The sequence below is a fragment of the Homo sapiens genome, chromosome 13, assembly GCF_000001405.40.
Source record: "Homo sapiens chromosome 13, GRCh38.p14 Primary Assembly".
Classification (NCBI taxonomy): domain Eukaryota; kingdom Metazoa; phylum Chordata; class Mammalia; order Primates; family Hominidae; genus Homo; species Homo sapiens.
In genome coordinates this window covers 107,548,966-107,566,643 of record NC_000013.11, presented here as the reverse complement: position 1 = coordinate 107,566,643, position 17,678 = coordinate 107,548,966, and the positions used below count along the sequence as shown (strand labels likewise).

The 17,678-nt window shown below is 37.7% G+C and overlaps 1 protein-coding gene and 1 long non-coding RNA gene across 2 annotated transcripts in view; both read left to right on the top strand.

The window, feature by feature from the left end:
- The window catches only part of NALF1 (NALCN channel auxiliary factor 1), a 703,987-nt gene that overhangs the window by 300,853 nt on the left and 385,456 nt on the right, over positions 1-17,678 (top strand). The window lies entirely within an intron of this gene.
- LOC112268110 (uncharacterized) overlaps positions 11,328-17,678 on the top strand; it is a 31,815-nt gene continuing 25,464 nt past the window's right edge. Inside the window, exon 1 of the long non-coding RNA XR_002957493.2 lies at positions 11,328-17,678. This exon is cut by the window's right edge and continues 21,698 nt beyond it. This is a non-coding gene — a long non-coding RNA (uncharacterized LOC112268110).

The window sequence follows — 17,678 nt, the reverse complement described above, 5'->3', positions numbered from 1 at the left end:
AGATGTCTGAAACGGAACCACAACGTGAATCTGGTGTTACCGTGCGAACCCCTTTCCGTGAGGTTGGTGAGGCTCTGGTTAGGGTGGCCTGCCTAGTGCCCTTGGACCTGCTTCTTGTTGGATCACGTTGGCTGCTTAGTGTTCTGAAAGGGTATCCAGCCGATGGACCTAGACAGCACTGGGTGCTTCTGGCTGACTGAGCTAATACTCCAGGGCCATTGCACCACTACAGTTGCTCCCAGTACAGTCATTACATTTCAGAGAGATTCTTCTGTGACTACAGAGACTTCCTCACCTCTCTGTTATGGTAGCTATTTATGTTTATATTAGTTATTGCACAAATCTGCAGCATGCGAAAGATGCTGGCAGGTTACCTTATTTCCCAAATAATGTACTTTGCTCAAGCCTCCCATAAAACCCCTCCTTGCCTGTAACATTGTGAATATCTTTTGTGAAATGCCTCTTATAAAAGCCTCCCTATCATTGTGGATGAATGTTTTTGTAGCAATTCTTGCCTTCAGGTGAGAAATGCCTTTCAACAGGAAAGAATATATTGACCTACACTGAGGTAAATTATAACTTATGATGTTTGAGCAATAAATATCATATTGTTTTACCCCATCTTGAAAAATATAATTATCTCTTAACTGAAAATCTACGTTCTAGCCAGTGATATGTTACACTGCTTTGGGGACTGGGAACATTTCGTTTCTGTTTTAAACAGAAATTTCAATGATGGAGATGTTTTCCTGCAAGAGGCTGCTAGGAGTTCCAAGTTAAATCATTTTAAATTTCATAGGAAAATTCAGAAATTGGCCTGGACAAAGTATTATAGGTTCATAACATTCAAGAACAATCAGATTAAGGAGAAAGCTCTAATTAATGGTTGTAAGTTACAGAGGCCATAACCTGAGACTGATACACTCATACACACATGTATGTACACACACATGATTTAGACTCATGGGCACGGTCTCATTTTGCAGATGGGGAAATTGAAACCTACTGAGAATCACCACTTGCTAGAATCAGAGAATGAATTTGTGTCAGATCAGGCCTAGAAAAGAGGTTATTCAACTCTCGGGACTGCATTCTTCTCAAAATATCTTCGTGTTTCTTCTCTGGTTCATGGAAAATAGAGTTTTTGTTTTATTTTGTTTTTATTAGAACATTGCTTTCTTTTGGGCATACTTTATCACCTTCCTAGAGCTCTTATCCTATTATAGTCCTTAATCTTTTTTACTTTTTTTTTTTTTTTTGAGATAAGGTCTCGCTCTGCCACCCAGACTGGAGTGCAGTGGCACGATGGCAGCTCACTGGAGCCTTGACTTCCTGGTCTCAAGGGACGCTCTGGCATGAGTCTCCCAAAGTGATGGGATTACAAGTGTGGGCCACTGCTCCTGGCCATGCCCCTTAATTTTAAAAATTTCTTATTTGGGGTCATTTTTGTCTTTTCTCTCAGGAACTTTTGAATTCCTATATCTTTTGTTGTATGACACTCTTATTTTATAATGGTTGTTTATGTCTGTTTTTTTTTTTTGTCTTTTACTTATGCTAGGTTTTTTTTTTTTTTTTTTTGCAGATATCACCCCTTGTTTCCTACTTCTTTGTGTTTATACAGCAGCTTTGTTTCCTGCTTTCACCTCCTTCCTGCCCATGTTTCAAGTGGGGAAATTTTTGTGCTGAGTGGCCGCACGTGGTCCCAGTAGTAGAGGCAACCTTAATTCTTTGCCTTTCAAGCTTTGTGTCAGCCTCACCTGTATGGGGGAATTTGGGCTGAGGTCCCTAATGGCTCTTAGACCGGAGGGTGAAGAGACTGTATTGCTGCTAGCTGAACTGTAGATTGGAAAAGTGACCCAAAGAGAAGCCCTGTCCTATTGCCACCAACACTCTTCCAGCTTGAGAGAAGAATAAACTTTCAGCTGATTTAGAGCCAGTGGGCCTTTCTTGGACAGAGGGAGGAAGGTGTATGGAGGCTTTGACCATAGCAGTTTGTAGTGTTTAAGTGGCATCCATACTTTATATGTGGAGCGTTTGTCTGAGTTACTCAGAAGAATATCAGCGTCCAGCCTCCAAGAATAAAACTCCAAGAACTAGGGGCCTGGACTCTAGGTTTGGTCTTTATTACACTGGGGATGAGCAAGAACAACCAGGGTGAACTAGGAAAGGTGCACCCACTTAAAACGACCTACGTGTTGAAAGGCTGTGGTTTGATGTTTGCTTTACTCCAGGACAGGTGGGAAGACAGGGAGACCTTGGAAGAATGACTGGCAACTGCTGCTCTTTTGTCCAGTTTCCCAATATGAGGGAATAAGATTTTTGGTAAATCAATCTGTGTCTCTCACTTTCATGCACACATATACAAACAAAAAAATAAAGTTAGAATCATTGGATTATATAGCTACAAAGTCCTTGAAATTGATCAGTTGCATATTTAAATTTGAGGGATGAACTTTTAGATTGCAGAAATAGAGAAAGCCTCATTACCCCAGACTCCATCAGGATGGTGCATTATCTCCATTCTTTCAGTTGTTTCTTCTTTCCAAGCATCTTTCCCAATACATCTCGTATATTCCAAAGTGCTAAGAACCATGAAAGTTTGGAAAATGCTGCTCTCCTGAACAATAAGGGGCCAAATATGGGACTTTCAGTGAATGTTTATAGATCCTTGTAAAGGTACTTTTATAAGGCTATAAATTATTTGTAAACAACTTTTAATTCTCTCGTATTCTAAAATGGTTATCTGCCTGACATATTCATAGTGGATTAATTTATGCTTTTTATTTGGCCCCGGATGGATCAACTAAATGGAATTAAAATTATACAAGTAAATGTTATTTCAAACCCTCCAGTAGCAGGAAATAGCTTTATAACAAAATTACATAACAGCTGGTGCTGCTGCCAGTGACCAGAATGGTAATGTTTTCTTTTGATTTCCTTGTAACTGCACAGGGCTATTTAGCTGCAATGTCTTCAAAGACTTTCAGTAAAGAGGGACAGAAGTAAAGGACACTAGTGCTTTGTGGGAATACATAAATGATATTTCTGCAGGATACGTCACAATCTTTTCTACAAAATCAGCTTTGCAAATATCTGTCACTATTTGAAGTGTAAATAAAAGAATACAATTGCTGTGTCAGGGCTTCTCAAATAGGATTTTGCACTCAAATCACCTGAAAAACACGTTAAAATGCAGATTCCCATCTCAAGTTCTCAGTTGGGGGCTGAGATGCTGCCTTTCTGAGGAGCTCTCTAATGATGTTGATGCTGGTGTTTCTTGTATCACACTTTCGGCAGTAGGAATACAGCAGTGATTGTTTGTCACAACGGATCAATGTGCTCTGGCCTGTTTTTAAGGCCACAGTCTGTGAGAGATGATCTTTGACCTGGGGGCTCTGACTGTCATCCACAGCTGAGCTTCCCTGTGAAGTTGCCATTTTCCCCAGCAGGCTGGAATCTCCTTGCGGCAAAAGTGTTTTCTCCTTCATTTTTTTTCACTGCTCAAATAGCAAGGAATGTGCTTAAATTTTGTGCTCAGTAAATGGTTTTTTGTTGTTGTTGTTATTAATCTAACGTGAATAAACAATTGTAAAAACTCATTAAACCTATTTTACTTACATTAACTTGTTCATCTGAAGAAGCCTTCCAACCTCTGAATTCAAAAAGCCTACTCATGTAAGTTTTAAGAAGGACTCAGCTCCAACATTTCAAAAGTCAACTTTGGCAGTTAGGAAGTGGAACACAGAGGAAACTCCTCATGGGAACTGGGAAATGCCTGGAAGGTAATTTTTTCCGTGAAATGAAAAAGAGCACTCATAGCACTCACTCCTGTTTCATCAGATTATTGCATGGTACTCCTTCATGTTAAGAACCACATTTAATTTATTCTGGTTGCTCTTTTAGCCAGGAGCACAAGGCATAGTCAAAAGATGTCTAAAGAATGAGTTCGTATGGTCTTGGAAACAAATGGCATTATGTTTGTTATTTTGAAGTTCACATTTGTCAGCTGACACCTGGAGATTCTACAGAAGCAGATGACAGCTTAAAGATCCACATCCATCCACAGCATTTATCAACTGATTTTTTCAGAGCAAAATAAAATGGAAACGTTTGTATTGATATCAGGTATCTTCACAGACCCCTGTGCTGCGACTGATCTGGGATGCATACAAAGCAGGAGAGGAGGCACAGCAGGGTCGGAGCCAGCAGGAGTCCAGGGACTGCAGAGCTTACAATCTCCTATCTTCCAGAACAGTCCTGTGATCAGACATGAGTGGCACATAAGGATACAATATACAAATTACAAGCACGCCTTTGACTGTCGTTTCTCTTAGAAATAAAACTGCACAGATGCTAGCATAAGACTCATTCAAAATAGCCTGTGTTACAGAATGACAATGAAGATCACATGCATGCCAGCATGCAGGAATTTCATGAGTTGTATACCTTTGAAATGAGATGGGAGAAAGTGTGTCCCTACAGAGCAGTGGATCCTGAAGTAAAATATAATATTTGCATTTCCAAGATGTCAAGGCAAGGTCAAAACAGCAAAATCATATTTAGAAAGAAGTTCAGATAGACTACTAGGCAACCATTGTTATACATTAGGAATACAGTTTTACTAAATATTCTTAAATTCAAGGGATGACAAAGCAGGCTCCATTTTGCATATTATCTTGTTAATCTAAAATGACAAACCTAGGAAAGTTTCTTTTGATACGATCTAAGTCCATTAATAAATAATGCAAGTAGTTCTTAACATTGAGCACGTTAACGGCTAGCAATATGTTGTCTCTGCCTTTGAGAAGTTAATATGGAAGAGACAGTTATGCAAACACAGGTTTACCATGAGTCCTATGACAGGGACATGGACAGGCTTCACAGGAAGTGGGGAAGATGAAATAATCATTATCTGTGACTGGTGAAACTTTCATACAGAGGAGATGGTAATCTTAAAAATTAATAGGTAGGAATTTGCAAACTAAAAAGATTGGCAGGGAATAGGCAATTTGCATGTTCTCAAAGTTTTTCCCCAAAGATTCCTTATTAGTTAAAGGGCAAAGTAGCGACTGTATTGGAAATCTCACACGTCACCTTGGCTGAGTAATTCAGAATTACCATTGCTGATGGGAGGAGACAGACGCTGAGTCCTTCCGATATGATACTCTGACAAATAATAGTTATTTGTTATTCTGGTGGGGAACATAACACTTGCACTTAATCACAAGGTAACATAAGAAAAACCCAAAGTGAAGGATGTTCTATAAAATAACTTACTTTTGGCCTTCAAAATGTCAATGTCAGGAAAAAACAAGTAAAGCTGAGGAGGCATTTCAGACTAAAAGGAGACGAAGGTGACATGGCACCTAAGTACAACATGTGAGCCTGGACTCGATTCTCCATCAGAACAGGGGAAATCTTCGGGATATTTGTTAAAATTGCAATATGAAATGTTTCTTAGATGAAAATATCATGTGACTGTTACATCTACTGACTTTGATAACTGCATTGTTGTAGGAGAATATCCTTGTTCTTGGGAAATAAGACCTTAGTGGGTATTAAGGCATAAATGTTTCAGAGAAACAAATACTGACAAGGGCATTCAACATTTAACACTTAGAACACGTGTATAATGACACAAAATAATGAACTGACATAGAATAGTTTTAAAAATTGTTTTTTGGAAAACATACGGGGTTAATGGTGGGTGGTATTAGGAAACAAAACTAGAAAAAGGAATGTTGAAAATAATTTCTTAGCATTCTTCACAACCGTGGTGAAGAGATTATCCTGTACACACAAAGTTGACAGTGAAGACTTTCAAACAATCTTTTTTAAGAAGGTTGGTTTCTGTGCCTTAACAAATATAAAGATGTTAAAATATAAAAATAAATGGCCTTGGCAGAACACCAGTAGACCAGTGGGGGAGCATAGATTACAAATACCTCTGTGTGAGTGTGTGTGAGTGTGCATGTGTGCTTGTATGTGAATTTACATGATAAACACATGAGCAGAAAGAACATACTAATAATGACATAGTTTTGGTGAACTGCTCTCCATTTAAAATGACAATGTAGTACATCATACTATATTAAAAATATAGTTCAGAACCTTTAAAAAACTAAATGAAAAATAAAATTTTAAAGTACTGAAAGAAACCATAAAATATATTTACATTTGGAGTGAGAAAGACATTTCTAAGTACATAATTTCAGTATCTAGTTTGCTTTTTTATTTGTAGTGTTCTTGGAAGAAATCATCAGACAAGTCCTTGGGTATTTTATTCAATTCAGTGGTTTATCATTTTTCTCTCTGGATTCCAAACATTCCCCCCTAGTCCCATCCAGTCTACATTGCAGAAGACCCATCCTCATTTTCCTCCTTTTCTGGAATCCACTATTGACTTTAGCTTCTTCAGCAGATTCCTTTGCCAATTCCAAATGCACATTCCTGGAAACCTGTGAATTCGATTATCTCTGTTTGAAAATTCTACGGGCGTTTCAAAGTCAATGTTTCCAAACCAGCTTGTCTTCCCTGACTGTCTTCTTAGCCCTAATCCCAAAAAACTTGGTGATTTCCCTGGTTAAATGGCCCTTCTCTTGCTTAATGATTTCTCCTTCCTTCCTTTCTATGGAGGGAAGCCTTGGGAAGATCTCCGCCTCCTTCCTTGGGCTACCTGCCTTCCTCGGCCGGTGGATCCCCCTTTAGTCCAAGCTGGTTCCATCTCTGCCATGTCTCTCCTTTATATCTCACCAATAGCGATATATTTCACGTTGTTATCTTTTTCCTAGGATAAAAATTCTGTGTTAATTTTAGTTTTTAATTTGAGTTTACCATTAATGAACATCAAAGAATAATGGACTTTTAAACTCGGACTGGGAATGAGTGTGTGTGAGTGTACATTCAAATAGCAACCCTAAAGCTTTTGCTGTTGTTGCAAAGGTTTGATGCTGATGCTGAATAGATAGTTCGTTACATGGCCTTGACAGCGCTTATAAGGACGCAGAGGAGAAATGTCTATCCTGATGAGTAGTTGTTCCTCCCCAGAACACCTAAGGATGCACAGGGACACCGTATACAACCTCTGCAGACCGCATGCCTCCTCAGCCTGAGCTGGTTCCCTTCCTTACTTTGAGTCTAGGAAGCTCAGATAGAAACAAATGAGATATTATTGGTTTTTTACTTTTCTCTTGATTTAATCTTATTTCTCTTGCATTTATTCCCTTTCTCATTATTTCTTCCTTTATTCTAACATTGTAGTCTACTCTTTTTATTTTTGCTAGCTGCCTTAACTTGTTTTGTTTTGTTGTTGTTATTGTCATGAGGCAAAATACATAAGCGAGCAATGAAAGATTCACTCCTTATCCGGACTGTTTTCTGTGTCTTTTATACCATGCAAACTTTGGGAGTTACTCCCTGAAGTTTTCTCTACTACCCCTTCTTTAATAACACTGGCTGAGTTTTTAGCATGGCGTCTCCTCTCTGCTGCCGTCTCCTCCACATGGGGTGTGTATTAGAGCTCTACAGAGGAAGAGAGCCAATAGGATACATGCATGTACAGAAAGAGATCTGTTATGAAGTATCAGCTCCTGCCATCATGGAGGCGGAGAAGTCCCACGATCTGGTCCCTGCAGGGTGGGGGGCCAGGAAAGCCCACGGTTTCCTTCCAGCCCAGGCCCACTGACCCCACAGCACTGAGCCAAGGGTGTGGTCCCAGTCTGAGTCCAAAAGTCTAAGAACTGGGAGCATTGACATCTGAGGACAAGGAAAGATGGATGTCCCAGCTCAAGAGGAAAGAGAGCTCGCTCTTCCTCTGCCTATGTTCAATCCAGGACCTCGACAGACATGTTGATGCCCACAGGCAGGGGCGAGGCAGGTCATCTTTACTCAGTCTACAGAGTAAAATGCTAATCTCTCTGGGAAACGCCCTGAAACACCCCAGAAATCATGTTTTACCCGTGATCTGGGCATTAGCCAGTCAAATGGACACATAAAATTTACTACCACCGGATGTCTTCCACCACCTCTACCTCGTCAAACCAAATTCCAGTTCAAGCCATACCTTAAACCAAAGGTGAGAGTAAGGAGTGATTTAGTTATATTCTGTGAAAACAAGCATAGGCAACCACGGTTGCTCTTAGTATTTTATTTGTTGTGGGATCATTAGTATTTTCTTTCAAGAAATGTGGAATACCATATTTGGGGATAAATTTTAGCAAATTGGAATACTATACTATACATATAGCTGTCAGACTGGCCCAATTTCAATGATAATTTTTGTGCTATTGAAAAGAACAAAGAAGAGCTTACTTCTAAAAAAGATTGATAAAAATGAATAAATAATAATGTACAATTAGAAGTAATGAAAATATGTCAAATAAAATAATTGGTAACACAAACACTAAAAAAAAAGAGACTCAAGGAATATTCACAGATTTACCACTAATTTTCTGTGATGTTTTGGAGCAATTTCTCCCTTCTGAACTCATCTTCATCAACATTTGAATTTTTTTTTTTTTCTTGGAAGATTCTCAGGGAAAAATCTCAGAATCATTAGGCCAGTGACCTGCGTGTAGACAACAGGGACGCAGCTTGGGTTGGTTGGGTTGTGTTTCCTGTGCTCAGTCTCTCTGAATGCCGACACCTTTCCAGTATGAACAATCAGCACAACAGTGACACATCCCACAAGAATACCAACGCACAACATTAGTGCACAGACACGGTACTGAGAGTAGGCATTTTTGATAAAACTTGAAATATATTATTTTCAGAATAAAGAAAAATTAGAGTCGATGTAGAGCCTCTTTTCGGTTCCTCAGCTGCATGGGTGTCCGTGCTTGCTTTTTCACTTGTATTTTTAAAACAGTGTGGCATGGAGAATGCATATGGAGATGGGATTTGGGACCCATGGATTTTGTGCTTTAGGTAAACCACCGAAACTTTCTGGGTCTGAGTGTTCCTTTCCACAAAATGTGTTTTCTTCCATCTCAAAAAGGCTGTGCTTCTGAGAAACCAAAATAATCCAAAGAGAAATGACCATTATCAGTTTTCCAGAGCAGCAGAGACAGAGCCAGGAGCAGTCCAGTGGTCTGGTGCCAGCACAAAAGGGGCTTCCAGTGTCCCTTCTGCTGGTAGCAGTGTTGTTAGTAGGCCAAACCTACTAACAACACTGCTGGACTGCTCCTGGCTCTGTCAGCAAAGAGCAGGTTCTGCCTTCCCCACGGTATGCAAACCGTCACCCCATCCCCTTTCCAAAGTTTCCATCTTTTCCCCAAATGTGATAGGGGCTATGTGAAATTAGCATTACCACCCCATCAAGATTGCTTCTACAAGAGTCACATTTAAGAATTCAACATGGACTGTGCTTGTTTGTTTGCATTGTTTGCTGCTGTAACTTCTGTGCTAAAAGGGTTACAATGCATAGTAAGCCCTAAATTTCAGTGAACGAATGTTCTTCAAGGAAACACCTAACAAACCTAACAAAACATTTTTTTTTCAAGAAGCTAGGCTCTGGCCATCAAAAATGACTAAAGAACAGATACTACCTTTTTGAAATATGTAAAAATCTGATTAAACTGCTCTGCTATTTTGGGGAAGATGTACTGTTGTACACTAAATCATAACCCAACACATGATATTTCAGAGGTTGAAAAATCACATTATACAATTTGTGTAGTATTGAATACACTTGCTTCTCTTCCATCTCTTAGGAGATTAATTCTTCTCTTTCTCATCTCCTCTTCCTCCTCCTAATCCCCCTAGTTCTCCTCCCTTTTCTCCTCCTCCTCTTTGTCTTTCTTCTTCATCATATTCCACCAAACACTTGACAGATAAGCAGAGCCTATTCTGAAGAAACTATTGAACAATAAAACAGATAATGATGTAATCCCAGTACTTTGGGAGGCTGAGTCGGGTGGATCACCTGAGGTCAGGAGTTCGCAACCAGCCTGACTAACATGGTGAACCCCGTCTCTAATAAATACAAAAAGCTGGGCAGGGCAGTGCATGCCTGTAATCCGAGCTACTTGGGAGGCTGAGACAGGAAAATAGCTTGTACCTGGGACACAGGGGTTGCAGTGAGCCGAGATGGCGCCATTGCACTCCAGCCTGGGCAACAAGAGTGAAACTCCATCCCAAAATAAATAAGTAAATAAATAAAAATAAAATAAACAGATAATGAATTCAGTGTGGCTCTGCAAGGCCTCAAGTTCTCGAGTTTTAATGTTAAAGGAAACTAGGAAAAAAGTTCTGATCCAAATATTATTTTCTAAGACTCTCTCTCTCTCTCTCTCTATATATATATATGTGTGTGTATATATATATATGTGTGTGTGTGTGTGTGTGTGTATATATATATATATATATATATATGTTGAGAGAGAGAGAGAGGAGAGGCACATCTCTGAAGATAAGCAAAAGGAATGACTATCAGTCCCACATCTGTGTCCAATACCCCATCTTTCCATGTCCCTCTTTCATAAGAGATCTTATATGTATAAAATTGGTCAGGTTCTCTTCAGTTGAAACAAGTTTAGCTTAAATATAAAACCAGAATTACTTTCAAGTGAATAATATATCTCTGTTTTGAAGAGATAATACATTCATAGACTTAAATAAAATTTATTGATTTAGAATATGAGAATATTCAATAATAATTTTATAGTAAAATTTAAACTATTTCTCAAGGAAGTTATTTTACTTACTTAAGATTAAGGCTCTTAGTTTGATTTCAACAATATTCTCAAAATATTATCTTTTTTGCTGGGTATTGATTTTTATATAACCATATAAGCTTGCAGGTGGTAGAATTTCTTCTAAAATTTTCCAATAAGCATATTTTGTTTTTTATTTGAAAGAGGCTTTCCCCAATATAGTGACATTTTTTTCATTATACATAGAGATGATGACACCGATAAATGATGCACTGATTAACAATAAAGCAATTTGAATAAGCAGAAAAAAGTTAATGATTGTTACCCAAAGTGAATTTGGGTTTCTAAAGAGTTTCCCACATTTGTTTTTTAAATTTGTTACTAAAATCAAACATCTGGCTGGGCGTGGTAGCTCACGCCTATAATCTCATCACTTTGGGAGGCCGAGGCAGGCAGATCACCTGAGGTCAGGAGTTTGAGACCAGCCTGGCAAACATGGTGAAACCCCGTCTCTACTAAAAATACAAAAAAAAAAAAAAAAAAAAAAAAAAATTAGCCAGGCTTGGTGGCAGGAACCTGTAGTCCCAGCTACTTGGGAGGCTGAGGCAGGAGAATTTCTTGAACCCGGGAGGCGGAGGTTGCAGTGAGCTGAGACCCCACCATTGCAGTCCAGCCTGGGCAACAAGAATGAAACTTTGTCTCAAAATTAATTAATTAATTAATTAATTAATAATAAATCAAACATCTTCTCCCCTCACAACGTAAGTTTTGAGTGATGACTTGCATGAAGAAATGCGTAATATCCAGTTTGGAGCCCTATTCTCGTGGTTCGGGTGGTGAATTACAATATAATTAAGCAGCCTGCTTAATGATCAATTGGATTATTTTGTTTGCTGCCAATTTAAGTAATTAGAGAATTGCAATGATCACTCCAATTAAAGTGATTGCTTTACGGCACAACCTTGCCTTTTTTACCTGTGATATTTAGAAGAGAGAAAAATGTTATTCAGCAGAGGCCTCCCCGGACAGGTTAGGCTCAAAGCTCTTCTGCACAGTTGTTAGTTCCTCCTCTACTTAGACATTCTCTACACTCCTCCTTCCGTACTCTGGAGTTATACCCTGCAAGCCAGCCTGCTTGTGAATTCTGCAGAGACCAAAACCTTCCCTCCATGGGAGGAAGGGCAATATTTATCATGCTTCAGTGGTGGCTGGAGAGGTCGAGAAACTTGCACAGACACAACATAAAACTGCGGGTAGCAAATGTGAATGGTGAGCCACTGTCAGAAGCAATTACAAAGGGAGATTACATTGCAAACTCTGACATTAAAACCTGTGTAAATAATACATCCAATCTGATGGGGGCCAGGGCCTGCTTTGGCAACTCCCTGCCAGTTCTTGGGTCTGGGCTTCCGTTCTCTCTCAGCCTCTCTGGGCCTCTGATAAGGGGAAGGCTCCCTGGGTCCCCGGGCTGCACAGGTTCTTGAGGACTGGTTGCACTGCCTGGCCTGGGTCTTTCCTTGGCCAGCGGCACCCTGTGTTTTGTGCAGAACTGACTAACTCTGCATTAACCTTCTTCACCCTCTTTTTGAAGTAGCAGATTCTCTGACTCAGGCCTCACAAACTCTCTCACTAAAGGAGTATTTTCCTTCTAGCTTTTTCCCCCCGGACTTCTGGCCTTTGACTGTGGAACGGGACAGAAGGAAAGACATAGTTCTATACTCTGAATTTCTCTACAGAAATCTGAAAATGGAGCTTCCTGCAAAGAGAAGCCTGGGGCTCCATCAGCTGCATCTTGTGGCACAGCCTCGAGTTCGGCTCCGGGCTCAGCTCAGAGTGCGTCTGCCATACATCAGGAACCCTACGTAGTGTCAGGAGCTTGCTGTCATGTCACCCACTTACCCATACAGCTGCATGAGCTCACAGGATTATCTGCATTTGCAGATGTGGGACTAAGGCTCTCAGGGCTGGATAGCTCCATGGCATGTAGCCATGAAGTAAGCGGGGACAGTGAGAATCTGACTGATGACTCTCTGGCTGTGTCAGTGCATGGATATGCTCTTTTAAAGACGATGTGGACTTTGCCAGGCACTTACTTAACTAAAGTAGAATTGGGGATAGGATAAGTACTAACATGAACCCTGAGAGGCAAAGTAGGGATGGAGGAAGCGCAATTGCTCCTCTGGGCTCTGAGATACTCGCGTCTTGGATTCTTAAAGTTGAAGCAGAGACAGAAGAGGCTCTGTTTGGCATAACTTAAGTGACTTAACTAATTATTTGCTGTAGTATATCCATAAGGTATCTATAAATTAATGAAGCTTAATTAACTTAATTTAAATGCCAAATGAATATTTTGATTGGTGAGATTTTATTGATATGACAATTCAACTAGGACATTAAGAGAAGCAAATTACATTAATTTGTAAATACACTTTAGATCATAAAAATCTATAGTAAATCATAATGCTAACTTCAGAAGCAATTGAAAGGGTTTTATTCGAAGATAAAATTACACATGTAAATACTCTCTTATAATTCCTGGAACATATTATATACAGTATAAACATTTGCCTAAAATGTAGCTATATTCTTAGCACAGTGCAATTTTAATGAGTCTAATACGGAACGGGTCAGGTAACATGTATATAAGTCTACTAAACTGTCATGGGGTGAATTATGGATAGTTGCTCAAGACATAACAAAAATGTGATTTTTCTGAAATGTGAAGTACATTCATTACAAGGGGATTTGTTACGTGTTATAAACCAGTTTTATGAAAAGATTTAGCAATGCGTTTCTAAATTTTATAAGCCAGGAAACACCACTTATCTTTAAACTTTAGGTAGAATTTCCTCTGCAAACCATTTCAGCTTTTTTTATCTTGCCTGTGTTGCTTTTCATTTACTATATATTGATGATATTGAAGATTCATCTATTTATATTTATGAGAGCTGAGCCTGTAAATCTTATAAACTGAAGGAAGGCCTTTCATTTTAAATTTTAGTTATTAAATTTTAACTACTGATTTCGTAGATAACAATTCAGAGTATTTAAGAGAAAATTAATGGGTTTATACATTTAAGCTCTATTTAATATTGTGCACAATATTTTAATATTATATAAACGACAGTAAATCACTGGTAAAGCACACATCTTTTACTTCCTAAAAATGTGATGTAATTCTGTCAACCATATTCTAAGTACCATAAGATTAAAGAACAATAAAAAACTTGCACCACTTTATACAAAACTAGAATATAATTATTCATGCTTTTTCCTTTTATAATAAAGTCCGAATCATTATGAATATATGTGTTATAGTGCCTTGAATATCAAACAGTGAAGTGGGACTGACCCTTAGAAAGACTGAGGTGGGGACTCCGTGGTGCCTGTAAGTGGTGTTCCTGGATCCTCAGCTTATGAGAATGTTAATACACATAAATGAGTCCAGTGTGTGTTTGTAGACTGATGGACTCCTGATTTTCTTATCTTTTGGAGTAACATTTAAAATCACCACATTCTCCCCTGTAAAGAAGGAAATTCTATTAAATTAGCTGTGCGTTTTCCTAATATTATCTAATTTGCTAATGCACAATTTGCCCGATGCATTAATCTACTTAAATAACGATATCATATTTTGAAACTAAATAGTAACCATGAGGTATATTTATTGACACATGTTGCATTTCTATTTATTTATTTGTTCAGGAAACATTTGTTGACTGTAGCAGGCAATGACCTGGGTGCTGAGAATATACTAAAAAGAATAGATAGAGTCTCACTTTCCAAAAATTTACATTCTGCATAGAATGTAGTAAGGGAATATGTCTATCTCAGAATTAATTTCTAACTCATATAATGCAGCTTGAAGATATTGGTCTATTTATCTTAGATTTCCCATGCATTTTCCTTTAGTACACCTCTGGAGGGGATATATTCTTGTCAAGAAATGTCTGTTTACTTTCATAATTTTTACTTCTTGACACTTTGAAGAAGATGTTTATTAACCTTTAACAGCATAATTAGAGGCTATTTTCTTATAATTAAAACAAAAGCTTAAATAGATTCTGATTGTTTTATTAACTACTTGCTCTTAGGAAAGAAAATTTAATGACTGAAGAATAACTCTAAGAGGTACAGAGTAGACCTGATTAGTGTAATAAATAACCTTGTTAGAAACATATTCATACTTTAACAGAAATAAGTAGAACAGAAGAAATACTGCAAGGATTATGGAGAGAGGTTTAAGAAAAGAGGTCACTAAGAGGTTACTGTTAATTTCAACATCAAGGGCAAGAGTCACATATTTCATGATTTTGAAACTCCAGAAATTATATGAATCACTCCTCAGATTATGATTATAAAGATGACAGCTTCCCAACCGTCAATCTTGACAGTTGAAAAAATAATAGTAGGGGCACAAGAAATGATAACTTTACTCGATGTAATATTCTATTTAATAAAATAAAATGAAGTTTTACATATTTATATAATTGCCTTCACATTTATGAATTGCAGATATTGTATCTCATTCATTTCTGTCCCTAGCTCAAAATTAAGGAGCAGTGAAGAGGTAGGGTTTGTTGTGTTGTCATTATTGTTTTAAAATTACTGTGGATTCACATAATGATGATAAAGATATGATTATCGACTTCAGAAAGCACACAAAACTGAGATGCTAAAACACAAATAAATGGGAATTTGCATAAATATAAGACATAAATGCAATGGTATGTAAATATAGGATTCAAATAACTAACAAATAGAGTGTTACTTAAACCTGAGATTCAGGTAACAGATGTCTTCGTTCATAGAAGAGACGTCACAAGAAGTGCATAAACTTGATTCTGCACATGTACTTCAGACGCAGTACGACCAGAGAGAGAGAAGAATACAGCAAGGTTCTGGTGATAGTGAAAGTGGAAAGGTAGAAGTGAGAAAGGACACAGCAGTGATTTCAGGAAAAAATCAGGTTACAGGTACCACATACGGGGCCACAGGTATATGTACTTTATACAGGAAGAACAACATATAAGGATAAAAAGAGAGACTAAAGGGGAAACAACAGCACAAACAATAAGTTTTTTTTTTTTCTGAATGTCAATAAATAGTGAAATAACCTCAAAGTTAGAGAAAAACTTCAATTCCAGATCAGAATATTTGAACTTCATCTCAGGTCACCTGAGCCAGGACCTAAACTAACATTATAGTTCATTGGTCTAGTTATCCTCTTTGGTATGCAAAACTCACCCTTCTTTCCTTTTCAGCTCTTCACATTCTTAATCAAAGAAATGTCTAAGGAAGACTAATGACTTATTTACAAAATTGTCTGAAACAAGAATAACTGAAAATTCAGAAACCCCTTTTAGTATTCAAGAAGTGCTACAATGAAGGGTCTGAACTGAGGTAGTGAATTTTGAATAACGAGGAAAAGATCAATGAGAGAGATGCTGGCGGACAAGGTTGTGACATTCTGGTGACTTAGACTATAATTATGAAAGGGGGACAGGATCAGATGTCATCCCAGTGTGTTAAAGTGTTAACAAAATGATAAATTATTCTATGTATTAAAAATGATTAGAAATCTCAAAGCTTCACTCAGTTGTTCATTTATATTTATTTTAACAATAAAGATGGATGAATTCATAATGAGTGAAACAATCGGAGCCCTAGTAGCACAGAGAAGTCCTTAGCCCAAGGTATAGATTCAGAGACAGTGAGACTTGGGAGGGAGGTGAGCTCTGGAGCTGAATTTAAATGAACTGGAAATTAACCAGGAGGACACAGAAGGAAGAACGTTAAGACAAAGAGAGGAATCATTATCCAAGAATGTTGTAAAAATGTACAGTAAAGTCCCTCAAAAGTAGCAATATCTGGAATGGCTTTGAGGATGTGATGGTTTCAATGCTGTCTAAAGTGGTCATTTTACTTAAGCGATTATGGGTCATCATTTGTCTGATGAAGAAACATCAGACAAATGCAAAGATAGTTTCTAAAAATTTAATGGTCTATCTTTCTTAAAAAATGCCAAGGTCATGAATAGCAAAGAAAGACTCAGTAAGTGTTCTAGACCAAATGAACAGAATAGTTGACAGGAAATACAATTCTTATTGGAAACTGGATTGGATCCTGTATCAGAAAAAAAAAAATGAAAAGTTGCATAAAGAATGTTAGTGGGAAATTGAGGAAAATTCCATAAGCTCCATGGGTTAGATAATAAAATTTAACAATATTCATTTCCTGATTTTGATCCTTGTAGTATGGTTATGAGAAGATTGTTCTTGTTTAAATAAACATTTAAGTATGTAGTGGTAAACAGGCATTATATCTGGAACTTGCTCTCAATTAGTATACAAAAAATATGTATACACAACCATATATACACACTGAATAATAAAGTAAATGAACTAACATGTTAACATTTGGGGAATCTGGTGGAGAGATGTATTACATTTCTTTGTACTATTTCTGCAACTTTTCTGGAAGATACATGTCTTCAAAATTAAAGACTGAAATTTGTATGTAGTTCTCAGAGCTGAATTTGATACCTTTGTATTGATTAATCTCACCTGATGTGAAACCTAATTTTTAGTTTATGTTCTTAGAGACTCTTAATGGCAACCTCTTAAAAATTTCAGGTTTATTCAATATACAAATATGAATACAGCAAGTAGCTCTATATTTCTTCCACTTAAAAGTATATAAATCCTTCATATTCTCTTTACTGTAATCACTGCCAGTCCCACTGTCACCCTCAATTGATAAATGTAAGGAATGATGTCATAGATTAGTGCAACAGAGATATTAACTTCTACTGATTTTGCTCAAAGGTAATTAAGCTTCTTTGCATTTAGCAATTCCACATCACTGTTATTGGCAAAAGAACATGTTTGTAAGGTAACCTTTATTATCTGAGGTGGTAGAATGTAAAAATCATCTTAGGTCCAGGATTTTGGAGGTAAAAGCTCATATTACACATCTATAGTCAATATGTTAATAAATTACTTGGCCGATGTGCAATTATGGTAT